Raw genomic sequence first — 27845 nt, forward strand, 5'->3', positions numbered from 1 at the left:
AAAAATCAAAGTGTCTTGAAAATGCCAACACATTAACCAGCTTGAAGCCATACTCAAGTGCGATAATTCATATTCTGATTTATTAATATCCCAGTCATAAACCCCATGGCAATAAATACATCTGTGCCTGTAAAAAGAGGGCACACTTGAAAAATAACACATGTCCAGGAATATCTTACTCAGCAAGCAGGCAGAGCCTGCTCTAAATTGACGAACTTGGACACAGTGAAAACCAACAGCTGTCCCGCTTGGGAAACTAACAGTTGGGCTCCTTGGAAAAAATACCTGATTTAGAATCTAACGAATGTGTTTATAAAGGACCCATCTTCTTTTTTTTGTTTTTTGAGACAGAGTCTCGCTCTGCTGCCCAGGCTGGACTGCAATGGCAAGATCTCAGCTCACTGCAACCTCCGCCTCCTGGGTTCAAGCAATTCTCCCACCTCAGCCTCCTGAGTAGCTGGGATTACAGGCACCCGCCATCATGGCCAGGCTGGTCTTGAACCTCTGACCTCAGGTGATCCGCCCACCTCGGCCTCCCAAAGTGCTGGGATTATAGGCGTGAGCCACCGCGCCCAGCCAAGGATCCGTCTTCTCTAACATTCGGCTTGAAGAGAGACCCCCCCACTACTTTACAGTGATGCCTTCGGGAAGAACAGCCTTTTACCTCCCTAGGTTTTCTCCCCGCCTAGAGTTCTGTTTCTTACTACATTACATTTCCGCTCGCTTAGTGTTTTTCAACCCTCGAGCTCTCCTCAAACCGTTCCATTGTTTAAGATACTAACAAGGGGCTGCCCTGACCCAGGAGACAGTGTAAGTGTAGGGATCAGGGAACAGAAGCAGGAACGCAAGACGCCGGATACAAACGTGAACATGCTGCAGGATTCCACGTGCATCAAATTCTAGAAAAGCCAAAACCCACCCACATAGGTTGCTTAGGATGGGGTGGGGGGACTAAGAAGGGGCATGAGAACCTTCTTTGGGTGATGAAAATGTCCTATGTTGTTCTGCCTGAGGTCATGCTGCATTTGTCAAAATTCAAAAACACTGAAAATGAGTACATTTTATTGTATATAAATGACACCTCAATAAAAACGAAAGATGTGAGCAACATCCTGGGAAAAGAAAATGTGATTTCACCTTAAGTGCTTTAGCAGAATTCTATTATATGCCTCAGCTCTTACTCTTTCTTCTTTTTTGAGACAGAGTCTCGCTCTGTCACCCAGGCTGGAGTGCAGTGGCCACAATCACAGCTCACTGCAGCCTCGACCTCCCAGGCTCTAAGAATCCTCCCACCTTAGCCTCCTGAGTAGCTGAGATTACAGGCATGAGCCACTGTGCCCAGGAACTTACTCTTGCCTGTAAAAATACAGCTCTGAAGTGAAGAAATCCCAGGCGCCACATCAAGGAGGCGAAACTAGAGTCCGCAGGAGGCCAGCCCCGCACGAGGAGTTTCAAACACTAAGGATCCTGACAGGGAAAAGTTATATGAAGCAAGAAAGGCAATTTAAAGCGATAGTTTATCATATGAATGTTTCGTTCTTAAAAATGAACAAGCTCTATTTATAATGCCCATTTAGAAATGAATCCATTAAAAAAAATCAGTAGATCAGCACTTATTTTAATTACTGAGATAGAGTCACACTTGACAGAAGCAAGCCCTGCGGTATATGGCATCATCACACCACCGGTGGGTATTTTAATCCTAAAACTGAGACAGAGTTTACTTAAACATTTAAGGCTTGAGTTTCCTCTGTACAGTGTGGAGGTGATTAAGAAAATTAATCCTAACATGAAGATTTTTCATCCAGTTAAAAAAAGAAATACTTTAAAAACGACCTGCCCTTCCAAAACATGAAGTTAACTTGGAGTTTTTCTGTGATATGACAAACTAGGCATAATCCTATCTCGGAATTGTTGAGTAGAAAATTTATGTACTAATACTCCTGTTAAAATTCAACAGCTTTATTGTGAAAGAATCCAGAGATCTCACACTGAAAAAATACTAACACAGCTCATATATAAATTACTTATCTATAAGAACAATTATAGAAGGAATCTAAATGGGGCAATTTTAACAAACCAGGCAAAATATCACATATACCTGAATATAAGGTAACTCCAAGCCATGAGTATAAGATTAAGGCAGTTACTTTATTTTGAACAAGGAAGTGGCATAAGCAACTCAGTGTGTGCCCCTTAGGGTGGGAGCTCTTCCCCCTACCACTCCCCACCCCAAGGCATCATTTTGGAGAAAAAAGTGTCTTCTATCTGGCTAGCTGTGTTATCTAGGATTGCACCTTCTTACACGGCAGGCGCGGCATCACGTCCAGATGGGCATCTAAGGAACTGCATTTCGGGAGATGAAACTTTCATTTGGGACTCAACTGAATGCATGAACTAACACAGGGCCATGGACCCACCAGTCTTGATTGAGTTACAGAAAATGAAGGTGACTCTTTACACTTCCAAGTTGCTTTCTAGATCCTTTCATTACAAAATATTCTGATCAAATAATCTTACAAAGGAAAGATAATCTAGCCTCAAGGCTATCCTCTAAAAGCAAAGAGAAAGTGATTGATTTTCTGCTCAGTCATTACATTGGGGACCTTTACGAGGCACGTGTTAGTTCCCAGGCAGCACTGCTAGGCGGTCTGTGCCAGAAATTTCACGTACTGCCCGCGGGCTTCAAAATGGTCAGCGGGCCGGTTGTACGCTGTCCACACCGGTTCTCCCACAAACAGCCGCATGGCCTTCGTGTAGTTCTGGAAAACAGACAAACACACCCAGCATCTCATTAAACCAGCCGGCCTTCTACTTAGTATTTATTAACATATCAACTTGTTAACATTAATTGCTATAAACACTTTACTTGCTATTTTTATTCTGCGTCTTTAACAATTTAGGCCACATTTTATTCGTGGAAGGAAAATTTGTATCAGGTGGTGCAGCTGGCCCTGCCTGTCCTCACGTGCCAGGTAAGAGCATCTGGAGCTGAGGCTTGGTGTTGAACTCCGCACCTCCGTGCTCTCTATAGAGACACACAGTCAGGAAAAGCACTGGCTCCAACCCCATGTACCCTCCACCTCCTCTCCGCCTCATTTGGCTACAGTTTTCCTAAGAATTAGCATCAGGGCCCACATGTTGCTGGTGGGCAGGAGAGGACAATTCAGCCACATCCGTCCAGACTAAAAACGCACGTGCCTTTTAATTCAGTTTTTACTTTTAGGAATTTACCCTACAGAAAAACACACAGAAGTGCAAAATGACAAGCATGTAAGGGTATTTATTACAGCCCTGTTCACAAGAGCAAAAAATTGAGAACAATGTATATACTCATTGTTGGGGGTCAATGACTCACTGAAATAAATTAATGGTTAAATACAGTACAGCATGTCCAGCGCCAGAGTACTGTGCAGCTGTAATCAGGGCTGAGGCTTGTAGACACTGAAATGAAACAGTCCCCAGTGAACATCATGTAGAAAAAAGTAAAATGTAGAACCATGGGAGGCCAAGGTGGGTGGATCACCTGAGGTCAGGAGTTTGAGACCAGCCTGGCCAACATGGTGAAACCCCGTCTCTACTAAAAACACAAAAATTAGCCGGGCGTGGTGGTGTGCCCCAGTAATCCCAGCTACTCAGGAGGCTGAGGCAGGAGAATCGCTTGAGCTTGGGAGGTGGAGGTTGCATTGAGCCGAGATCAAGCCACTACATGCCAGCCTGGGCGACAAAGTGAGACTCCATCTCAAAGAAAAAAAAAAAAAAAAGAATCCTGACTGACATGCACTTGGATATGTGTAAAGTCACTCTAAAAATAATTTTTTTAGTGGAATACTGGTTACTTTCAGGGAGAGAAACTGGGAGGCTGGGAACAGGGGTCAGAGGGAGACCTTTCACCAGGTCCCCTTTCATATTTCTAAATTTTAAACCATGTGCATTTAGTATTTATTCAAAAATTACCCTTAAATCAGCATTACCCCAATCGCCTCCAGTGAACCCCAAAACTACCTTATCTGTGTTTATTGCCAATCCTGACTGGACTGCGTTACTGTTCAATTCCAAAACTGAAATGTTTTTAAAAGTGACAGTATGGCAACATAACAACCCTACAGGCGCCTCACCACCAAACACGGGCTGGGGTGACAACCCTAGAGATGCCTCACCGCCAAGCAAGGGCTGGGGCAGGGCCAGGCTCGTGGGTGTGTACCTGCCGCCGCATGTACCTGCCGCCGCCTGTACCTGCCCCGCCTGGGTATGAAATGCACACCTGTCCACCAGGATCGCAGGCAGGGGCCACGGAGGCTGCCACGGAAGGACAGCTGTCACCTCGGACATCGCCTGCGGCTCCACAGACTCTCCTTGAAGCACAGGTCGAGGAGTCCCGAGCCCAGCGACCGCGCTTGGAGTCTGCGGAAGCCGCGCAGTTCAGCGGCAGAGATGCCACGGCCAGGGCCACCACACAGGCCGGGCCTGGGGAGAAAGCACAGCACTCCCACCTTCTCGTCCACCGTGAAGCGGTGATAGATCCCCGCGGGGAGCGTCACCATGTCTCCCTTCTCCATGAAGATCCGGATCCACTGGTCCTCCTTGTCCCTCACATCGAAGTACCCACTGCCATCCAGGATGTAGCGGATCTCATCGTCCAAGTGCAAATGCTCCTCGTAGAACATCTTAATCTAGTGCAGAAGGAACATTCCTGTGAGTCTACCAGAGACCTGTCACGCAAGCTCACACCCACCCACTCAGCAGCCTGAGCCTTTGGTGGGCCAGAGCTGAGGTGAATGGGACTTCTCTCCATAAAAATGAAACTACACTTGCTAAGAATTATTTTCCTAACAGTACAAGGGCCAGAGCTAGAATATTTTATGAAACCTGTCAACAAATGGGCAGTAACTGAAAGTGAACAGACCTGAAGCAAAGGTTCTGAACACTTCACACAGGCCAACTCACCCAACCCGCACGGCCCCACGAGGTGGCTGCTCTATCAGCCCCGTTTTACAGATGTGGAAATGGTGGCACAGAGAGGCTAAGTCACTGGCCCAACCTCACACAACGAGACTGCCCCAAAGACACCCTGGCCCCATGCTCACACCCACCCAGTGTGCTGCACACAGCAGTCATGAAATCACAACACACAGGGTGAGTGAGAAGCCAGTGGACATTGCAGGGAGGCAGGCACAGACTCCACAAGCATTTTCTATGTCTTCACATTGACTTTTGTGTATTTTTTTTTTTAGGTGGAGTCTCGCTCTGTTGCCCAGGCTGGAGTGCAGTGGCACAATCTCAGCTCACTGCAACCTCCGCCTCCCCGATTCAAGCGATTCTCGTGCCTCCCAAGTAGCTGGGATTACAGGTACCTACCACTATACCCAGCTAATTTTTGTATTCTCAGTAGAGATGGGGTTTCAACATGTTGGCCAGGCTGGTCTCAAACTCCTGACCTCAGGTCATCCACCTGCCTCGGCCTCCCACAGTGCTGGGATTCCAGGTGGAAGCCACCACGCCTGGTCTGACTTTTGTGTCTTTCTGAAAGTGTTTTCTTCCTAATATTTTATAATAAAAATATTCAAGTATGCAAAAACATTGAGAGTATTTTACAGTAAATATCCATACCCCCTTCACCAAGACTGTGCCCTTATAATCTGATTCTGCCTGCACTGTTCATATCTCCACACCTCCCGCTCCACACACACACACACACACACACACACACACACACACACACAGAGACAGGGTTTCACTCTGTTGCTCAGGCTGGAGTGCAGGGGCACAATCATGACTCACTACAGCCTCAAACTCTGGGGCTCAAGAGATCCTCCTGCCTCAGCCTTCCCAGTAGCTGGGACTACAGGCGTGCACTACCATACCTGGCTAATTTTTTAAAAAAATTTTTTCTAGAGACAGGGTCTTATTATGTTGCCCAGGCTAGTCTCAAACTCCAGGCCTCAAGTGATCCTCCTGCCTTGGCCTCCCAAAGCACTGGGATTACAGGCATGAGCCACTGCCCCCAGCCTACCTTGTTATGTGTTACAAAATCATAAATAAAATGAAAACAAGATTAGGAGGAAAACCTTAAATTTGAAATCAGTCTATTCATAGCCACACAGAAAGAAAAGACAAACGGAAATAGCTCTTTTTTTTTTTTTTTTTTTGAGACGGAATTTCACTCTTGTTGCCCAGGCTGGAGTGCAATGGCGCGATCTCGGCTCACTTCAACCTCCGCCTCCCAGGTTCAAGCAATTCTCTGCCTCAGCCTCCCAAGTAGCTGGGGTCACAGGCATGATCACCACACCCAGCTAATTTTATATTTTTAGTAGAGACGGGGTTTCTCCATGTTGGTCAGGCTGGCCTCGAACTCTCGTCCTTGGGTGATCTGCCCACCTCAGTCTCCCAAAGTGCTAGGATTACAGGCGTGAGCCACCGCACACGGCGACAAACGGAAATAACTCTTGAACATATTATTTTGACTACATCCTCAGGCTAAGACAGAAAAACCGCAACCCAAGCTTAGGTTGCACTCAGTAGGCCTGCTGCTTGTCATGGTCTGGGTGCTGCCATGCTGATGCTGTTGTGTGTGTTGTGGGGATTGAGAGGATGGGAAAAAACATTGATATGACTGGGAGCCAGGCCTCTCACAGTGAGAGGAAAGATACAAATACTGATGAGGAAGGCAAAGGAAAGCCCTGTGGATGTAACTGGAATTAGAGGTGTCTGTTTGAACTACTTGTCACACACACAGGGACACATGCACACTCACACAGGCGCACTGTCACACAAGCACACACACTCCCATGCTAGCATTCACACACAAACCTACACACGCACACACACGTACACGCTCTCACATGCGTACATTCACACTCACATGCACACATACATGCATGCATTCACACACATGCACACACGTAACACTCTCTCATGTGCATTCACACACATGCACACACGTAACACTCACTCATGTGCATTCACACACATGCACACATACACACTGACACGCACATTCACACACATGCACACATACACACGTACTCACACGCACATTCACACACATGCACACATACACACGTACTCACACGCACATTCACACACATGCACACGTACACACACGAGTGCATTCACACTCATGCACACATACGGACGTACACTCACACGTGTGCATTCACACTCATGCACACGTACACACACACGCCTACATTCACACACTCACATGCACACATACACACGTACACACTCACACACGTGCATTCACTCGCATGGTACTCATCCCGTCCACAGAAAGCACCTGAGCACAGCGACTCTGCAGGGCACTCCCATCCGAGTTTCTAAGTGCCAGGGCTAAGTGCCAGGAAGAGCAGCTGACCCCGCACAAGGTCAGGAAAAGCAGGAGGTGGGCCTGGACACGCTGTAGGTCCAGAAAGTAATGGGCTGGGGATGCGCCAGGGGACAGAAGTCAGCTAACGAGGCTGCTGCTTGCCAAGCCTGAGGTCTGGGACAACGTGAAGATCAACATAAATCCCAGCAAGAATAGACCCTAGACCAACAAGTGAGACAAGAAGGCCTCCAGCCCCAGTGGATGCCGAGTGAACAGAGAAGAGGGGGACATGCCTCCTGACAGTGAAAACCAACCCCCGGGTGAGCGCCACTGCACGGCCATGACAGTCACAGCCCACAAAGGCAGGAATCATCACGACTTACGAAAAACGTTGAGTGAAAGTTTGAGGGGAAATGGGATATTCATGGTCTAAAAGTAACTTTCCACACATTTCTTACTAGTTACAGAGGAAAAGAAAAGGAACTTCCCCATGGAGAGACTTGACGGACGCCGATTTCACCCAGGGCACGTTGACATCAGCAGTGAGGGGCCCTCGGACACGCTTACTCACAACACCACTGCGTAGGATTCCGCTACAAACACACGACCTAACACTGAGGAAACCAGTGGCAATCACAAGATCGTCAGAAAATAAGGTTATTTTAGAAAAACAAAGAATAAGCCGGTATCAGCAAGAGGGTTTTATACCAGGAGAGAAGTAATTCCAGAAAACAGCAATGATGAAGCTAATGTAACTTACAACATCAGCAGCAGGCCAGCCTCTGTTATGTGAGATAAAACGTGGCTGAGAAGAGGCTGGCTCATCTCAACTTCCACGTCAGAGTCACACCATTTACATCCACCAGAATCTAATGAACTGTAGGGCACTCAGTGAGAAATAAAGACAATATGTGGACTCTAACCAGGAAGAATCATTTGACATAGAGAAAAGGAACTCACACGACAGATCTATTTTTGAACAATTTCCACATCCTTAAGCTCTTCTGCTCTTAGTTCTATCTGGTATTGTCGGTTCACCTGCGTATGTTTGTATTGTTGGTTCACCTGTGTATGTCTGTATTGTCTGTTCGCCTGCGTATGTTTGTATTGTCTGTTCACCTGTGTATGTTTGTACTGTTTGTTCACCTGTGTATGTTTGTATTGTTGGTTCACCTGAGTATGTTTCTATTGTTGGCTCACCTGTGTATGTCTGCATTGTTGGTTCACCTGCGTATGTTTGTATTGTCGGTTCACCTGCGTATGTTTGCGTTGTTGGTTCACCTGAGTATGTTTGCATTGTCAGTTCACCTGTGTATGTTTGTATTTTCTGTTCACCTGTGTATGTTTGTATTGTCTGTTCACCTGTGTATGTTTGTATTGTTGGTTCACCTGAGTATGTTTGCATTGTTGGTTCACCTATGTTTGTATTGTTGGTTCACCTGTGTATGTCTGCATTGTTGGTTCACCTGTGTATGTTTGTATTGTCAGTTTACCTGCGTATGTTTATATTGTTTGTTCACCTGCATATGTTTTCTAAAGAGCTTAGAAGCCACCACTCCATCCTATCAAGTAAAAGCAGAACAAACTGAAAAACCAACTCTTTTTAAATCTGTAAGAGAAGCGAAGTCACAGAGCAAACCACAGCCCCTCACACTGGAGAGACAGGCAGACAGAAAGATCCACACCTAACCAGAGCAGAAACCCCTATGGGAAGCAGGGCTGGGGTCGAGAAACCCAAACTGTACTTGACCAGTTGGGGGCTCAGTGTAGACAAGTCTGAGAGCTAAAAAAAACTCCAGACCCAGTCATCAGGGGCCTCACACTTTTGTAAATTTTACCTGCAAAAGCTCTACTGGGTCCCAACAGTGAGTATCAGGGAAAATTCCCTGTGCTTCTGGCAGAGGGAGGGAAAGGGGGCCATTCTGAAGTCTATCAGGATACATCTGAAATCTCTTCTTATGAAGGCCTCAACTCAGGAGAGCTCAGCCAGCCAGATCCCAGCCTGCTGGGCTTTCATGAGAGCCTGACCTGGGTGAAGGGAAACACGAAACTCCAGCCCCTTCGGAACTCCATGTTATGGACTGAATACTATGATCCCCCTCCCCCGGGTCCATGGGCTGAAACCCTACCCTCTAATATGGTGGTATTAGCAGGTGGTGTCTTTGGGAGGTAATTAGGATTAGATAACGTGATGAGGGTGGAGCCCTCATGAATGGGATTAGTGTCCTTATAAAAGTCCCAAAAGAGCTTGCTTCTTCTACCCACCCACCATGTGAAAACACAGTCGTCTATAAACCAGGAAGCAGCTCTCACAAGACACCAAAGCTGCCAGTGTCCTGACCTTGGGCGTCCCTGCCTGCAGACTGTGAGAAATAAATGTTTGTTGTTTAAGCCACCCAGTTTATGGTATTTGCTTATGGAAGCCTGAGCTGACTAAGACAGGAGAGGAAGGGAAACCCCAAGTCCAGCTGCTTCCAGCCATCATGTCCCACTTAAAGGAGGGAGTCTGAGAAACGCTGGTGAAGTTCACAGCCCAGAGGCACAGGCTGACTACAAGACTGAGACTGTCCTAGCTAATGCAATATGAAGAAATATAAGGCATACTGATTAGAAAGGAAGAAATAAAACTCCCTTTGCTCGCAGATGGTATCACTGTCTAGGTAGGAAATCCAAAAGAATCAACAAAGAAAAGCTCCTGGAACTAACAAGCAATCATGGCAAGTTTGCAGGATACAGGGTTAATACACAAAAGTTAATCACTTTCCTATATACCAGAAACACAGCAAGTGATATTTGAAATTCAAAACACAAAACCATATACATTTGCACCCCCAAAAATGAAATGCTTAGGTATGAATCTAACAAAATATGCATAAGATCTACAAGAAAACTACAAAACTCTGATGAAACAAATCAAAAACTAAACAAATGGAGAGAAATTCCAAGTTCATGAATAGGAAGACTCAGTAGTGTTAAGATGTCCATTTTTCCAAACTTAATCTATAGGTTCAGTACAATCCAATTCAAAGTTCCAGCTAGTTATTTTGCACATATCAGCAAACTGACTGTGAAGTTTATCTGGAGAGGCACAAGACCCAGAATACCCAACACAATATTGAAGAAGAACAAAGTTGAAGAACCGACACTACCTGACTTCAAGACTTACTATCATGCTATAGTAGTCAAGACTGAGACACTGGTGAAATAGTAGAAAAATAGATCAACTGATCTTTGACAAAGGACCAAAGGCAATACAATGAAAAAAAGGTATTCTTTGTTTGTGTTAGAGTGATTTTGATCTCCAGCATTTTCTTTTGACTCTCTCTGAGCTTCCCTCTCTCTGCTTATATTACCCATCTGTTCTTGCATGTTGTCTACTTTTTCCATAGAGCCCTTTGTATTAGTCCGTTCTTATGCTGCTATAAACAACTGCCCAAGACTGGGTAATTTATAAAGGAAAGAAGTTTAATTGACTCACAATTGTGAAGGAAGAATCAGCAAGCTTGAAGACATGTCCATGGGGAGCAGGGATTGGGGGAGAACAAAATAGCCCTGAACTGTGGAACAATTATAAAAGATGTAACATATGTATAAATGGTATAACAGAAGTAGAAGAGAAAAAAGTGAATAAATATTTGAAATACTGTCCACAAATTTTCCAAAATTAATGACAGACACCACACAGATCCAGGAAACTGAGAGAACACCAAGCAGGATAAATGCCAAAATATCTGTACCTAGGCATATCATATTAAAACTGCAGAAAGCAAAAGACAGAAAACCTTGAAAAAGGCCAAAGGAAAAAATGCACCTAACCTATAGAAGAAAAAAGAAAAAGAATTACATCAGACCGTTCCTCAGAAACTATACAAGCAAGCAAGAAAAAAAAAACTACCAACCTAGCAATCTGTATCCAGCAGAATTATCCCTTAAAAGTGAAGAAGAAATAAAGACTTTCTCAGACAAACAAAAATGAAAAGAATTTGTCGCCCGTAGACTGACCTACCTTGCAAATAAATGTTTACAGAAGTTCTTCAAATGAAAAAGAAAATTATATAGGTCTGAATCTCAGATCTAAGTAAAGTGGAAAGAGAGAACAGAAATAAGAAGAAAACTAAAATCTTTTATTTCTTTGTTCTTCATTGATCTAATCGATAACTGTTTATTCAAAGTAATGTCAGTAACAATGTATTAGGTGATTATAACATATGGAGAATAAAATAAATAACAGCAACATTGTAAGAGATGGGAGGGAGGAATTGGGAACACTCAGTTATTGGGTAAATGTATACTGTAAACTCTGAGGCAACCACTAAATTTTTTTTTAATGATAAGCTAAGAGGAGAGAAAGCAGAATCATATAAAATGTTCAATTAAAACCAGACAAGGCAGAAAAAGAGGGGAATATTTAAAAACAACAATAGGCCGGGCACGGTGGCTCACATCTGTAATCCCAGCACTTTGGGAGGCCGAGGAGGGTGGATTACGAGGTCAGGAGATCGAGACCATCCTGGCTAACACAGTGAAACCCCATCTCTACTAAAAATACGAAAAAATTAGCTGGGCGTGGTGGCAGGTGCCTGTAGTCCCAGCTACTCAGGAGGTTGAGGCAGGAGAATGGCATGAACCTAGGAGGTGGAGCTTGCAGTGAGCCAAGATCGTGCCACTGCACTTCAGCCTGGGCAACAGAGTGAGACTCTGTCTCAAAAAAAAAAAAAAAAAAAAAAAAAACAATAACAAAGAACAAGCACAACAAATAGAAAACAGTCCCAAATATGGTAGACATTAATTCAACTGTATTAATAACCAATTTAAACATGAATGATCTAAATATACCATTAACAGAAAGAAACCATCGAAATGGATTAAAAAAACTAACTATAATACATGTCATCTACAAGAAGCCCTCTCTAAATAAAAAGACACAAATAGGTTAAATGTAAATGAATGGAGAAAGATATACCATATTAACACAAATCAAAAAAATGCTGGCCAGAGACAGTGCCTCATGTCAGTAATTCCAGCATTTTGGGAGGCCAAGGCAAGAAGATCACTTGAGCCCAGGAGTTCAAAAGCAGCCTGGGCAACATAGGGAGACCCCACCTCTATGAACAATAAAAATGAATTAGCCAGTTGTGGTGGTGTGCACCTGTAGTCCCAGCTACCTGGGAGGCTGAGATGGGAGGATCACTTGAGCTTGAGAGGTTGAGGCTGCAGTGAGCCATGATGGCACCACTGCATTTCAGCCTGGGTGACAGAGCAATACTCTGTCAAAAAAGGAAGAAGGGAAGGGAAGGGGAAGGGGAAGGGGAGAAAAGGAGAGGAGAGGGGAGGAGAGGAGGGGAGAGAGGGCGGAAGGAAGGAAAGAAGGAAGGAAGGGAGGGAGGGAGGGAGGGAGGGGAAGAAGCCAAGGGAGCTATCTTAATTTTAAAAACAGCAAAATCATCAGAGATAAAGGGGGACATTATATAATAATAAATGGGTCAATCTTCCAAGGGAACATAACAATCTTAAACACATATTTATCTAACAGCTGAGCATCAAAATATGTGAGGCTAACACTGATAGAACTGCAAAGAAAGATAGACAAATCCACTATTACAGTTGGCAATTTCAATACTAACAGTAATTGACATCCAGCAAGCAGAAAATCAGTAAAGATATAGTTGATCTGAATAATACCATCAATCAACTGTTCTTATTGGCATTCATAGATTACTTCATTCAACAACAATGGAATACCCATTCTTCTCAAGCTCACATGAAACATTCACCAAGACAGATAACATTCTGGACCATAAAACAAGTCTCAATATATTTACGAAGACTCAAATTATACAAAGTTTATTCTCTGACTACACCAGAAATAAATTAGAAACAAATAAAAAAATCTAGAAAAATCCTCAAATAATTGGAAACTAACAAATATCTAAAAACAAAACAAAACATCCACACAAGTCAAAGATAAAATTAAAAAGTAAATTAATTAGAATGTATTTAAAATGAAATGAAAATAAAAAGTATATCGAAATTATCAAAAGTTGTGTGAAGCCACTAAAGCAGTACTCTGGGGAAAATTTACAGCACTAAACCCCCGTACTAAGGAAAGAAAAACAACACTCTGCGAGGCCGAGGAGGGAGGATCACTTGAGGCCAGGAGTTCAAGACCAACCTGAACAACCTGGTGAGATTCCAACGCTACAAAAAATTAAAAAAAAAAAAAAATTAGGCAGGCCGGGTGCGGTGGCTCATGCCTGTAATCCCAGCACTTTGGGAGGCCAAGACAGGAGGATCACCTGAGATCAGGAGTTTGAGACCAGCCTGACCAACATGGAGAAACCCCGTATCTACTAAAAATACAAAATTAGCTGGACATGGTGGCGTATGTCTGTAATCCCAGCTACTCAGGAGGCTGAGGCAGGAGAATTGCTTGAACCCAGGAGGCGGAGGTTGCGGAGAGCCGAGATTGTGCCATTGCACTCCAGCCTGGGCAACAAGAGCGGAACTCTGTCTCAAAAAAAAAAAAAAAAAAAAAATTAGCCTGGCATGGTGGCACATACCTGTAGTCCTAGCTACTCAGGAGGCCGAAGTGGGAGGACTGCTTAAGCCTAGGCATTCAAGACTGCAGTGAGCTATGATTGCACCACTGCACTTTAGCCTGGGTGGCAGAGCAAAGTAATAATAATAATAATGTCTGTTTCTAGAATAATAATAATAATAATGACAAAGAAAGAACTCAAATCAGTGACTTCAGCTTCCAACTAGGGAACTTAGAAAAAAGAGCAAATTAAAACATGTAAAAGAAGACAAATTATAAATGTCAGAGCAGAATCCAATGAAACAAAAAATAGAAAAAGAGAAAAATCAATGAAACCTAAAGTTTTTTGAGAGGATCAATACAATTGATAAGCCTCTATCCAGACTCAGGAAAGGGAGAAAAAACACAAATTATCAGTATCAGGAATGAGAGAAGACAGCACTACATACTCTACAGATATTAAAAGGATAATAGAAAATATTCCAAATATTTTTATGGCAATAAATTTGACAACTCAAATGAAATGGACAAATGCCTTGAGAGAAACAAACAAATAATGCTCATTCAAGAAAAAATGGGTTACCTGAATAGCCCTACATCTAGTAAAGAAGTTGAACTCACAGTTAAAAACCTTCCCACAAAGAAAACTACAAGGCCAGATGGCTTCACTGGTGAATCTCCAAACATAAGGAAAGAATAATACTATCTACACATACTCTTCCAAGAAACTGAACAGGAGGGACTACTTTCCAGCTCATTTTATGAGATCAGAATTACTCTGATATGAAATCCAAACTAAAACATTGATATAGTTTGGCAATATGTCCCCAACCAAATCTCATGTTAAATCGTAATTCTCAGTGTTGGAGATGGGGCCTGGTGGGAGGTGACTGGATCACGGGAATGGATTTCTCATGAATGGTTCAGCGCCACTCCCTTGGTGCTGTCTTCACCACAGTGAGTGACTTCTCACAAGATCTGGCTATTTAAAACTGGGTGGCACTTCATTCTCTCTCTTGTTCCCATTCCTGTTATGTGAGATGCCTGCTCCCACTTTGCCTTCTGCCATGACTGTAAGCTTCCTGAGGCCTCTCTAGAAGCAGATGGTGGTGCCAGGAAGCAGATGTTTCCTGTACAGCCTGAAGAACTGAGATGCAATTAAACCTTTTTCTTATAATTTACTTCTAAATTACACAGTAACTTCTTGTGAGATCTGGTCATTTAAAACAGTGTGGCACCTTGCTCTCTCTTTCATTCCCACTCCTGTTATGTAAGATGCCTGCTCCCTCTTTGCCTTCTGCCATGACTGTAAGCTTCCTGAGGCCTCCCCAGAAGCAGATGGTGGTGACAGGAAGCACATGCTTCCTGTAGAGCCTGCAGATTATAAATTTTCTTATAAATTACACAGTCTCAGATATTTCTTTATAGCAATGCAAGAACAACCTAATACAGAAAAAATGGTACCAAGGAGTGGGGCATTGCTATAAAGATACCTGAAAATATGGAAGCAGCTTTGGAATTGAGTAACACGCAGAGACTAGAAGTGTGTAGAAGGCTCAGAAGGAGACAGGAAGATGAGGGAAAGTTTGGAACTTTTTAGAGACTGGTTAACTCATTGTGACCAAAATGCTGATAGTCATACAGACAATAAAGTCCAGGCTAATGAGGTCTCAGATGGAAATGAGGAATTTATCGGGAACTGGAACAAACATCACACGTTTGCCTCAGCAAAGAACTTGGCTGCATTCTGTACATGCCCTAGGGATCTGCGGAAGTTTGAACTTGAGAGTGATGCCTAGGGTATATGGTAGAAGAAATTTCTAAGCACCAAAGTGTTCAAGATGTTTCCTGCCTGTTTCTAACAGCCTATGCGCAGATGCAAGGGCAAAGGAATGACCTGAAGTTGGAACTTATATTTAAAAGGGAAGCAGAGCAGAAAAGTTTGGAAAATTTGCAACTTGGCCACATGGCAAAGAAAGAAAAAGTTTTTGAGAGAGGATTTCAAGCAGGCTTGTAGAGCAACGACTTCCTAGAGAAATTCACATAACTACAAAGAAGCCAAGGGCTGACAGCCAAGACAATGGGGAAAAAACCTCAAAGGCATTTCAGAGACCTCTTCCTAGAGAAATCAGCATAACTTCAAACACAGCCAAGGCAATGGGGAAAAAACCTCAGAGGCATTTCAGAGACCTTTCAGCAGCCCCTCCCATCACAGAGCCAGAGGTCTAAAAGGAGAGAATGGTTTCATGGGTCAGGCCCAGAGCCCCTCTGCCCTACAGAGCCTCAGGACACTGCTCCCTGCATCCCAGCTGCTCGGGTTCTGCTAGGGTTCTGGCCTCAGATCAAAAGGGCCCAGGTACAGCTTGGGCCACAGCTCCAGAGGGTGCAAGCCATGAGCCTTTGTGGCTTCCATGTGTTATTAAGCCTGTGAGTGCACAGAGTGCAAGGGTTGAGGCTTGGGATTCTCCACCTAGATTTCAGAGAATGTATGGAAAAGCCTGGGTGTCTAGGCAGAAGTCTGTTGCAGGGTAGAAACCCTCATGGAGAACCTCTACTATGACAGTGCAGAGGGGAAATGTGGGATTGAAGCCCCCTCACAAAGTCCCCACTGGGGCACTGCCTAGGAGCTGTGGGAAGAGAACCACCATCCTGCAGACCCAAGAATGATAGATTCACTGGCAGCTTGCACCCTGCACCTGCAAAAGCTATAGGCACTCAAAGCCATCCCATGAGAGCAACCTCAGGAGCCCCTGCAAAGCCACAGGGACAGAGCTGCCTAAGGCCTTGGGAGCCCATTCCTTGCACCAGTGTGCCCTAGATGTGGGACATGGAGTCAAAGGGTATTATTTTGGAGCTTTAAGATTTAGTGGCTGCCCTGCTGAGTTTTGAACTTTCATGGGTCCTGTAGCTCCTTTCTTTTGACCAATTTCCCCCTTTTGGAATGAGAATATTTACCTAATGCCTTTACCCGCTTTGTATCTTGGGAGTAACTAACTTGTTTTGATTTTGCAGGCTCATAGGTAAAAGGAGATGAGTATCAGATGAGACTTTGGACTTGAACTTGGGACTTTTAAGTTAATGCTAGAGGAAGTTAAGACTTTGGGGGACTATTGGGAAGAGATTATTGTATTTTGAAATTCAAGAAGGGCATGAGATTTGGGAGGGGCCGGGGCAGAATAATACAGTTTAGATTTGTGTCTCCACCCAAATTTCATATTGAAATGTAATCCCCAGTATTGAAAGTGGGACCTGGTGGGAGGTGACTGGATCATGAGGGTGGATTTCTCATGAATAGCTTAGCACTATCTTCTTGGTGCTATCCTCACTACAGTGAGTAACTTCTTGTGAGATCTGGTCATTTAAAACAGTGTGGCACCTTGCTCTCTCTTTCATTCCCACTCCTGTTATGTGAGAAGCCTGCTCCCTCTTTGCCTTCTGCCATGTAAGCTTCCTGAGGCCTCCCCAGAAGCAGATGGTGGTGACAGGAAGCACATGCTTCCTGTAGAGCCTGCAGAACTGTGGGCCAATTAAATCTCTTTTCTTATAAATTACACAGTTTCAGGTATTTATTTATAGCAAAGCAAGAATGGCCTCATACAGACATTAAAAGAAAAAAGAAAGAAAATATTGCGTCTATTAGTAGTGAATATAATGATACTTCTTTTCCAGGTAATCCAGGGCTCCCTTACCTTTTCTTCATAATTTGGTAGTTTATCTTTGCATATGGTTATGATGTCCATCCAGGAGTAGTTCCTCTCTCTTCGGATCTTTTCTAATTCTGGATCATTCTCATATTTGTCAGCATCCAGCTAAAAGAGTTAACCCACCAAAAACAAGAGCTCAGATTAACAAGGAGATGTAGAAACATTCTCTTTCTGGATCTCCAATATGATTTTATACTCCAAATTTATCATTTGTTATTTTTTCAACCCTCAACTAACTCTCTTCATCTCCTCTAGCCATTTAATGGATTTTCCATTCTCCAAAACACCAGCTATACATACAATGGAGTTCTGTTTGATTTCTGCCTCCCTTCTCTGCAACAGTCCATCCCAGGGGATTCTTTTTCCCATTTTGAGATGGTAGTCTCACCACCTCAGGCCTTTCTGTCCACTCCACAGGTCCCTCACTGTGCCCTGTTTCTCTGCCACCATCCCACTCATGAGTCTCATTGATCCTCAATGCCATCTCTTTGGTCAGTTTGTTTCCATGAGCCAAAACATTGTATGCTCTCACAGCTTGCAAATAAAACTCAAGTTAATTAAACTGGAATGAGAAACCTTCTATCATCTGGCCCCAGCTGACTTTTCTACTTCTATCTGTTCCCATCTCCTACTTTTTAAAGAACTCTACATTCTAAACCAAATAGGATGATCGGCTATCTTAAAAATATTTGATATTTCACATCCCCACAACCTTGCTCATGACAGCTTTCTATGCCTAAAATTCCCATTCAACATTTTCATTTATCACAATCCTATCTCTATTAAGGTTCAGTTTTACTGTTCCTTCCTGACGAAGCACTTCCCTGATGAAGCTCCAGGCAGAATTCATCTGAACTCTTATTTAAAACTACTGGCAGTGAATCTAGCACACTTTATGTTTTGCAATAAACTGCACATTATATCATCACTACTTACTGAACAACAAACTCCAGTGTTGCAGGAAGTCAGGGACCCCGAATGGAGGGACCGGCTGGAGCCATGGCAGAGGAACATAAGTTTTGAAGATTTCACGGACATCTATCAGTTCTCAAATAATACTTTTATAATTTATTATGCCTGTCTTTAATCTCTTAATCCTGTTATCTTCGTAAGCTGAGGATGTATGTCACCTCAGGACCACTGTGATAATTGTGTTAACTGTACAAATTGATTGTAAAACATGTGTGTTTGAACAATATGAAATCAGTACACCTTAAAAAATAAAATAACAGCGATTTTTAGGGAACAAGGGAAGACAACCATAAGGTTTGACTGCCTGCAGGGTCAGGCAAAAACACCCATATTTTTCTTCTTGCAGAGAGCCTATAAATGGGCGTGCAAGTAGAGAAGGTATCACTAAATTCTTTTCCTAGGAAGGAATATTAATATTAATACTCTGGGGAAGGAATGCATTTCTGGGGGGAGGTCTATAAACAGCTGCTCTGGGAATGTCTGTCTTATGCGGTTGAGATAAGGACTGAGATACGCCCTGGTCTTCTGCAGTACCCTCAGGCTTACTAAGGTGGGGAAAAACTCCACCCTGGTAAATTTGTGGTCAGACCAGTTCTCTGCTCTCGAACCCTGTTTTCTGTTATTTAAGATGTTTATCAAGACAATATGTGCAGCACTGAACATAGATCTTTATCAGTGGTTCTGCTTTTGCCCTTTGCCCTGTGATCTTTGTTGGACCCTTATCAGTGGTTCTGCTTTTGCCCTTTGTCCTGTTCCCTCAGAAGCATGTGATCTTTGTTAGACCCTTATTAGTAGTTCTGCTTTTTGCCCTTTGAAGCCTGTGATATTTGTACCTACTCCCTGTTCTTACACCCCCTCCCCTTTTGAAACCCTTAATAAAAACTTGCTGGTCTGAGACTCAGGCGGGCATCACGGTCCTACCGATATGTGATGTCACCCCTGGCGGCCCAGCTGTAAAATTCCTCTCTTTATACTGTCTCTCTTTATTTCTCAGCTGGCCGACACTTATGGAAAATGGAACCTATGTTGAAATATTGGGGGTGGGTTCCCCCGATACTCCAGAACATATTAAAGTACTAGTCATCAATACGTTATTTTCTACAAAGTTGACTCTAAAACTTAGCCTATCCACTGCATGATATGCACAGTACTATTTGCTATGGTCTGAATGTGTCCATATTATGACACATAATATGTAATATGACACATTATATGACACGTGTCATAAGTTTAAATATACGAATGTTGAAACTTAACACAAATGTGATAGTATTAAGGGGTGGGACCTTTAGGATGTGATTAAGTCATGAGGGCAAGCCCTCATTTATAGGATTAGTGGCCTTGTAAGAGAGATGGAGCTGGGCACTGTGGCTCACACCTATAATCCCAGAACTTTGGGAGGCCAAGGTGGGCAGATCACCTGAGGTCAGGGGTTCAAGACCAGCCTGTCCAACATGGTGAAACCCCATCTCTACTAAAAATACAAAAATTAGCCAGGCATGGTGGTCCACGCCTGTGATCCCAGCTACTCGGGAGGCTGAGGCAGGAGAATCACTTGAATCCAGGAGGCAGAGGTTGCAGTGAGCCAAGACTGCGCTACCAGCCTGGGTGACAGAGCGAGGCTCCATCTCAAAAAAAAAAAAAAAAAAAAAAAAGAGCAAGAGAGATGTAAGAGAGCAGTTTGCCCCTTCCACCACATGAGGACAGAGCAAGGAAATGGCCGTCTATGAGGACAGGATCCTCATCAGACACTAAATCTGCTGGCACCTTAATCTTGGACTTCTTAGCCTCTAGAACTATAAGAATTCTATAAATTGCTGTTGTTTATAAATTGCCCAGTTTAAGCTATTTTTGTCATTTTGTTATAGCAGCAGGTATTTAGTTTATTCCAAGCTAAAATAATCTTCCAATTGTTTGTATGTATGACAAAAGGTTTTTTAGAACTCTATGTCACTAATAACAGATTGATTAAACAGATACACAAACATGTCCACATGTGTTACCTCTGTTAAAAATTATGGGAGATGTTACATATATATAATGTTAATATGGGGTGTGTGTGTGGCTTTTTTGTTTTTTGGGTTTTTTTAGAGATGAGGTCTCAAACTTCTGGCTTCAGGCAATCTGCCGCCTCAGCCTCCCAAAGTGCTGGGATGACAGAAGCCACCATGCCTGGCCCAGGAGAGGTCACTGTTTTGGACTGAGCCCCTGCACTAGGCCCCAGGATGAGACCAAACCAAAATGCAGCCACTCATGCCATATGCCACTTGATCAAACTAAAACTTTAAAGAAGGAGGTGCATCTCAAACAGACCAGCTTTTCCTGCGATCAGAAGATTCCAGTCTTCCTGAGTCAGAATAATAAGGAAGTCGCTTCTGCTTTAACCCTTAGGAAAAAAGTAACCTAATGTAACTTGACGTTAACCAATCAGCTTTTCTACCTATTGTTCTGTTTCTTTGTTGCCGCCCTACAAAACCCACTGTTGTGCTATTACCCTATCGAGCTCTTATTCTATTTTGTAGAACGGAGGTTGCCCTATTCACAAATCAAGAATAAAAGCTAATTAGATCTTTAACTAAATTTGTTGTAATTTTGTCTTCCAACAGCACTGATCCAGAATGGATATTAAGAAAGCATATAGGCCGGGTGCGGTGGTTCGTGTCTATAATGCCAGCACTTTGGGAGGCCGAAGTGGGTGGATCACCTGAGGTCAGCAGTTCAAGATCAGCCTGACCAACATGGAGAAACCCTGTCTCTACTAAAAATACAAAATTAGCCCGGCATGGTGCTGTGCACCTTGTAATCCCAGCTACTCGGGAGGCTGACACATGAGAATGGCTTGAACTCGGGAAGATGAGGTTGCGGTGAGCCGAGATCATGCCACTGCACTCCAGCCTGGGCAAAAAGAGCAAAAAAAAAAAAGAAAGGAAGAATATAAAAACACACAGGACATTAAAACCACAGAGTAAACATGATTTAATTTTGATAGCCCTGACTCAGAGCAGAACTAGACGGTAGGAAAAACTATGTTTGAGCCCATGTAATAATCTAAAAGATGTCTATTAAAATAAATCTTATTTTATTCTTTGAATACATTAAGAAGCTGACCTGTAATCTCACTCTTGTTCTTGTTCTTAAAACCGTCAAATGCACAATGAAACTCCCCAAGTGTATTAATTTGAACCCTCTGGTTGTTTGGATTGTGGATAAACATAATAAGTCAAAATTTATTCTCCTCTCATTAATGGAAAACTATAAACCACTTGATTGCTTTGAAGAAGTACCCTCCAGCAAGGTAAGTGTTAAACCTTATCCTAGGAAAAGACAAATACTATGTAAACATTAACATGCATGCCCTGTTTCGCACTGGTATGCCAATTGTCACTTCCCTCTTCTGTTATTTAGGATAGAACAAGATGATATCCAAATAGATTATGCTGGAATATTCTATAATCCTTTCCCAAGGGAAAAAGTGTGGTGTCCAGGTAACCCTGTGTATTTCATTTAAATCACATGAATGAAGATTAGATCCAGTCACCCCTCAGCCTATCCCTGAGGCCTACCCTGGCCCTCTCTTTTGCAGTAAACCTTTGTTACTGCAAAACCATTTGCAAATAAACAAGGTGAGCGGATCTGGACTGGTGCTGTGCAAGCAACGGGACACCGGTGCAAAGCCTAGCCCCGCCTTGCAAAGCTAGCGTTACAGAGGCAGGGCTGACACCGGGCCCAGCCGGGACCCAAGCCAGCTCCACCGCCCACTGGAGACGCCCCCACCCCACCACCGAGCGCTACCCCCCGGGGATCCCCGACAGACCGCGGCAGGACCCCGCCTCGATCTGCTGGCGCCCGGTCCCTCCCCCAGGACACTTTCAAGCGGAGTCCCCCTTCCTCCGATAGAAGAAACCCCTGGGCCTTTGACCGAGGTTAGCCAGGCAGGCAGGGCGTCGGACAAGCCCAACGAGCCCACGAACTCGCAGCCCGCCTCCGGCGAATCTTGCAGCCCTGCCGGCCGACCCTTCAGGTCGCTGCCAATCCCGGAGCTGCGCGTGCGCAGCGAGTCCCGGCTGCGAGGCCCCTGACTCGCCAACTCTGCTGCTGAGCATGCGCAGCACACCCCAGGCAACAGAAACGGACCGCCGACCCCCACCAGCCCCGCTGCTGAGCATGCGCAGCCCACCCCAGGCGCCGGAAGCCGACCGCCAACCCCGTAAACTTCGCTGCTGAGCATGCGCAGCACACCACAGGCGCTGGGGGCTGACCGCCGACCCCTCAACGCCGCTGCTGAGCATGCGCAGCACACCCAGGCGCCGCGCAGGAGGCCCTGACCACCCAGCCCCACTGCTGAGCATGCGCAGCCCACCCCAGGCACCGGGAGCCGCCACGAACCCCCAAATCCCGCTGCTGAGCATGCGCAGCATGCCGCGGCTCCCAGGCCGCTGCCCGGCACCTGGAGGAGGCTGGGCTGTGCGCGGCGTTTGGGGGTCGGCGTCGCCCGCACGCTCTGCGAGGCTTGGGCTCGCGTACCTTCCAGTAGAGCACCCCGAGCCGCCGCAGCTGCTCCAGGCCCACTGGGCGGCCGGGGTCGGGGCGGTGGGGTTGCCGCGGGTCGCCCGGGGCGTCGTCCATATACCAGGCCTGCACCATGACGCGCAGTGCGGGTGCCGTGTTCGAACCCAGGGGCCGCGCTCGGAGCCCGTCGGCCGCGCTTTATCTTATAGGGAGGCGTGGACGCGCATGGGAGCCGGGATTGGGCGGCTGGTTGGAGGCAGGGCCGGCGCGGGGGAGGCCCCACGGCTCCGCTGTTTTCGGAAGCAAAGGCATTCAAGCCCCGACCCTGTCCTGGGCACCCTCGGACCTGCCTGAGGCCCGCGGCCCGGGGCCAGCCGTTCGCCAGACGCGCCGGGCAGGTGAAGCTCACCGTAGGCATCGCACGTGCCTTGTGTGTGCTGCCGCGGTCTCCCTGCACCTTCAGAGCAATCTTGTGAGGCAAACGACGTTAAACGTGTTTAGAGTATGGAAAGCAAATGCAAAAAAAAAAAAAAAAGAATAAGGATTTTGTTAAGCTCATGCAGTCCATATGGGCACAGTTGAGACTTCACAGCTCGGATCCCAGGTGAGACATTGTCCTCCACCTCCCCGCTCGCCAGACTTTTGCAGTGTCGGCATTCTGCAGTGCTACCCTGTACTTTTTAAACTTCCTCTTGTTTCCTCTTTTCATCGTTTCTCCCTTCCCCATACACTGTAATGTGCTAGTCTTAGAATAAAAACAAGCTTCCCCTATCCCATTCTGAATTTTTCAATGTAGCTAATAAAGTCCAGCCGCTTGACCATCCTAGATGTCTTTTCAAACCAACGAGTTGAAAAAGATCAGATTATCTCAGCCATTCCCTCAGTCTCTTTAACAAATAACGATAAAGCAGACAGGATTTAAATGAGACTGCTGTAAGAGCACAACCCCAATGCATGCAATTGACTCTTGAACTTCCAGAAATATTGCAAGAAAAATACACACTTATTTCATTTCTGTTCCCTTGCTCTAATGGCTTTGCAAATACATCCTCCTTAGAGAGCCTACCTCTCCACCTCTTCACTTGACCAGTTACTACTCATCCTTCAAGAACACACCTTAGACGCCATTGCCCATTTTTCTGCAGCACTCATGACAAACCTTCATGCAAGAATCTAATGGCAATCTCGCACCTCGCATTTTCTCCTTAAGCCACTGCAATAAGGCTTCGCTTCTCACCACTGGGGAACTGCTAATGACTGCCATATTGCCAGATCCAATCATGGCACTTCTGTTCTTACCAGCAACATTCGTCACAGTTGCCCACGCCCTTCTTGAAACATTTTCTCATTTTCCTTCATGAGGGCATCTTGGCTGCTCCTTCCCAGGCCCCTCCTAGCTCCTGCTCCTCTAACCACTGGTTAGTGGAGCGTTCCAGACTCTCCTCGTCCTGTTCCTATCCACTCACTCCAGGCGACTTTCCATGCTGTGCTGCCGGCTCCTGCAGCCACATCTCCAACCTGGACCTCATTCCAGAACCTCAGGCTTGAGTATCCAGTTGGTGTTGTCACATACATGGCTAATCAGTGTGTCAAACCTAACATGGCCAAAACAACTGATTCCCCACACACACCCCCAAACATGCTTCTCCCTAACCTTTCCCGTCTCAGTGAACGGCAGCACTGACTGCCCAGTGGCTTAATAAAAAAATCTAGGTGTACTCTCAGTTTTGCTTTTCCTCACCCTCAAGATCCAATCCAATCTATCAGCAAGTCATGTTGCTTTGACCTTCGAAACACACCGCAAATCCATTCACTTCTCTCCAGCCCAACTCTTTCTGCAGTCTTTTCTTGCCTGATGGAATTGACTACTGAAATTCCCCCTCCTCACACCGCTTCCATTTTTGCCCCAGTGCAATCCATTCTATGCACAGCACCCAGAGTGACCTTTTAAAAATAGGAGCCAGATGCCAGGCACTGTGGCTCACGCCTGTAATTCCAGCACTTCGGGAGCCCAAAGAGGGTAGATCACTTGACCAGCCGAGGCAACATGGTGAAACCCCGTCTCTACTAAAAGTACAAAAATTAGCTGGCCGTGGTGGTTTGCACCGCTAGTCCCAGCTACTCTGCAGGCTGAGACAGGAGGATTGCTTGAGCCTGGGAGTCTGAAGTTGCAGTGAGTTGAGATTGTACCACTGCACTGTAGCCTGGGTGACAGAGCAAGACTCTGTCTCAAAAAACAAACAAACAAAAAAACATGGAATCCAGTCAAGCCCCTTTTCTGCTTCAACCCTCCTTTCTATAGCCTCGGCCTGACCACCTCACAGCCCATCGCCCTCCTTTCTTGTTCTCTGTCCTCCAGATACTTTGGCCTTTCAGTGTATTTGAGTCATATGCTCCTCCTTCCTTTGGGCCCTTCACCCATGCAGTTTTTCCACTGAAAATGCTCTTCCTTCCTCCAAGTACTTTTCTCCTATACAAAATTCTAATTTCAGCTTAACTATCCCTTTCGTAGAGAAGCCTTCTCTGACCACTCCCTAGACAACTAGATGGGCTCTCCGTGTGAAACACTGCCATGGTGCTAGCTTAGAGTTTGTAAGGACATGTTGACTTGATGTCTTTTCACCAAAGGACTGACCACTCCATGTGTTGTTTGGTACTTGCTGAATGAATGGATTTGTCTGTATTGCTGAGTGCCGCATATACCTTGAGGTCAGAGAATGTGTCTTATTAGTCCTTCAGTGCTTGGTACATAGTAGACAATTTTTTTAAAAGTTTGTTGAATGAAGGGATAGGATGAGGAACACTCCAAATAGTCTTTACTGTCTTACTGTAACTGCACTCCTATCTCATATCTAATGCTTCTCATTTACTAGAAAATAGTAGTACTAGGCTGGGTGCTGTGGCTCATGCCTGTAATCCCAACACTTTGGGAGGCCAAGGTGGGAGGATCACTTGAGGCCAGGAGTTCCAGATCAGCCTGGGCAATACAGCAAGACCCCATCTCTACAAAAAATATTTTTATTAAAAAGAAAATAGTAATTGTGACAATAATAATAGTAGTGTGTGCTGGGTAACATTTTAAAGATTTGATGCATATTATTATTTTTACTCCTCATGATTACACTGTGAAGTTGGTATGACTTATTATCCACATTTTAAAGATGAGACATGGGAGGCTGAGGCAGGAGGACTGCTTGAGCCCAGGAGTTTGAGACCAGTCTGGGCAACACAGCAAGACCCCATATCACTTAAAAACAAATGAGACAACTAGGACACAAACAGGTGAAGTAACTTATGGTCACACAACCAGAAGTGACAAAGCTGGTATTTGAGCTTGGGGAGCCCAGCCCAACAGCCTGTACACATAACTGCTAAAATCGAGTACAAGAAGTAATGATGTGGGTTTCATCCCATCGTAGAATAAACTTCATCTTGAAATTGGAAGAGTGCTTCCGGTTCCCCTCCCACCCCCAGGCTGCGGCAGCCCCACACCATTATGTATCTACCATTTGTCAGCCTCTGTCTTCAGTAGCTGTTCCTTTTTTCCTATTAGGTATGGGGGAAACAGTTTTATGCCATAAAAAACATACTTTAGAAAAGCAAGATGATGGAGAGGCTCTGAGGAATTGCCAAGGCAGCCCAGCACTTGCTGCTGGCAGGAGTTCAAGCGGGCAGAATCAGATGAGAACAGCACTCATTACTTCATACGGACATTGCCGGCCCATGGGATTCCTCCTTTGAAGAGGAATCTTTGGAACTTGAACTGTCTCTTCCAGAAGAATAGCCAGCAGCAGCCCAAAAATATGTTTCATGACCAGAATTTATCACCCCGATGTAAGACACTTGGGAAGAATCTGTTTAGATGTTTTGAAAGACAGATGGTCGCCATCGCCGCAGACCTGCGCAGACTGTTATCCGTCTGGGCTTTGTGATATGCTCCCAACCCAGGGGCGCGTTAACAAACCATATAGGGATACAGTAGAGCCACAGAAGAACAGGAAGATCCAAACTGCTGGAATGTGGAACGCAGATAAGGCTCTATAGACGGGCAGCAAGTTTTCTCTGGAAAAGGCCAGATAGTAAATCGTTTAGGTTTTGTAGATCGAGTCAAAATTGAGGATAGTATGTAGGTATTTATACAACAACCACATTACAGCATAAAAACCATTCTTAGTTCATGGAACATACAAAAACAGGCAGCAGACTGAATCTGGCTCATAGCCTGGAGTTTGCCAATGCCTGCCATGCACTATTAATAATAGTTAATTTTTATCTGATGATCAAGTGTACTTTACTTCTGGCCTGTGGAAAGAACTGCCAAGAGTCGGAGATGTTTACACTCTGCAAGCTAAGAAATTAGCCTGTCCCAGATTCATGGGTGTTAACAGAAGTCAAGAGATTATCGGCTCAGAGATAAAACACAGCCTATTACTCAGGAGCAACAGCGGTAGCAGGGGCCACAGTGTCTGCAGTTTTGCACAGGTTGCTGAACGCCAGTCCCCACCAAGGGAACTTGAAAAGGGATGATACCTGCATCTTCAGTGGGTTGCATTACAGGGGAGGAACTTTGAGCTTGGGAAAACCAAAATATTTCCCTGAGTCATACTCAGCTATTCAGCAGAAATGCTTCCTGTGTACTTCCCAATTTGTCACAGAGAATGTTAGAAAGATGTCTACTCAAAGGTCAAAATTTAATAAAACCAGTCATTTTTACAGCTTCATTAAAGACATTCTTAAGAGAAGCGGGGGTTTGTTTTTGTTTCTGTTGTTCCAGTGCAGGTGTGTGAAAAACACAATGACTGCTGGTACAGTG

At 44.9% G+C, this 27845-nt stretch overlaps 1 protein-coding gene and 1 long non-coding RNA gene across 3 annotated transcripts, besides 7 other annotated features; one reads left to right on the plus strand and one right to left on the minus strand.

Moving 5' to 3' along the window:
- Window positions 1–1045: 1045 nt before the first annotated feature.
- ADI1 (acireductone dioxygenase 1) lies at window positions 1046–23211 on the minus strand. Of its 2 annotated transcripts, none has more exons than NM_018269.4 (4): window positions 23048–23211; window positions 17537–17656; window positions 4494–4673; window positions 1046–2762 (listed from the first exon to the last, which is right to left on the minus strand). In NM_018269.4, the coding sequence occupies exons 1-4, from the start codon at window positions 23165–23167 to the stop codon at window positions 2643–2645; spliced, it is 540 nt and encodes a 179-aa protein (NP_060739.2). In that variant the 5' UTR covers window positions 23168–23211; the 3' UTR covers window positions 1046–2642. The 2 variants fall into 2 exon arrangements, with proteins under 2 accessions (NP_060739.2, NP_001293006.1); NM_001306077.2 differs by lacking the exon at window positions 23048–23211 and adding an exon at window positions 18488–21427.
- Window positions 22118–22317: a silencer, noted in NCBI's record as "silent region_11110". NCBI's record gives its function as "represses an Ori minimal core promoter by ATAC-STARR-seq in GM12878 lymphoblastoid cells {active_cell/tissue: GM12878}" and the evidence as "EXISTENCE:reporter gene assay evidence [ECO:0000049][PMID:35858748]".
- Window positions 22798–22857: a silencer, noted in NCBI's record as "silent region_11111". NCBI's record gives its function as "represses an Ori minimal core promoter by ATAC-STARR-seq in GM12878 lymphoblastoid cells {active_cell/tissue: GM12878}" and the evidence as "EXISTENCE:reporter gene assay evidence [ECO:0000049][PMID:35858748]".
- Window positions 22877–23398: an enhancer, noted in NCBI's record as "OCT4-H3K27ac-H3K4me1 hESC enhancer chr2:3522968-3523489 (GRCh37/hg19 assembly coordinates)". NCBI's record gives its function as "activates a minimal SCP1, AML or CMV promoter by ChIP-STARR-seq in primed H9 embryonic stem cells {active_cell/tissue: H9 hESC(primed)}" and the evidence as "EXISTENCE:reporter gene assay evidence [ECO:0000049][PMID:30033119]".
- Window positions 22877–23457: a biological region, named in NCBI's record as "OCT4-H3K27ac-H3K4me1 hESC enhancer GRCh37_chr2:3522968-3523489".
- Window positions 22938–23257: a silencer, noted in NCBI's record as "silent region_11112". NCBI's record gives its function as "represses an Ori minimal core promoter by ATAC-STARR-seq in GM12878 lymphoblastoid cells {active_cell/tissue: GM12878}" and the evidence as "EXISTENCE:reporter gene assay evidence [ECO:0000049][PMID:35858748]".
- Window positions 23226–27774, plus strand: LOC124907725 (uncharacterized). The gene is made up of 2 exons (XR_007086195.1): window positions 23226–23636; window positions 26586–27774. It is a non-coding gene; the product is annotated as an uncharacterized LOC124907725 (long non-coding RNA).
- Window positions 23328–23457: a silencer, noted in NCBI's record as "silent region_11113". NCBI's record gives its function as "represses an Ori minimal core promoter by ATAC-STARR-seq in GM12878 lymphoblastoid cells {active_cell/tissue: GM12878}" and the evidence as "EXISTENCE:reporter gene assay evidence [ECO:0000049][PMID:35858748]".
- Window positions 23399–23919: an enhancer, noted in NCBI's record as "H3K27ac-H3K4me1 hESC enhancer chr2:3523490-3524010 (GRCh37/hg19 assembly coordinates)". NCBI's record gives its function as "activates a minimal SCP1, AML or CMV promoter by ChIP-STARR-seq in naive H9 embryonic stem cells {active_cell/tissue: H9 hESC(naive)}" and the evidence as "EXISTENCE:reporter gene assay evidence [ECO:0000049][PMID:30033119]".
- Window positions 27775–27845: the final 71 nt, after the last annotated feature.

Source organism: Homo sapiens, chromosome 2 (assembly GCF_000001405.40).
Source record: "Homo sapiens chromosome 2, GRCh38.p14 Primary Assembly".
Classification (NCBI taxonomy): domain Eukaryota; kingdom Metazoa; phylum Chordata; class Mammalia; order Primates; family Hominidae; genus Homo; species Homo sapiens.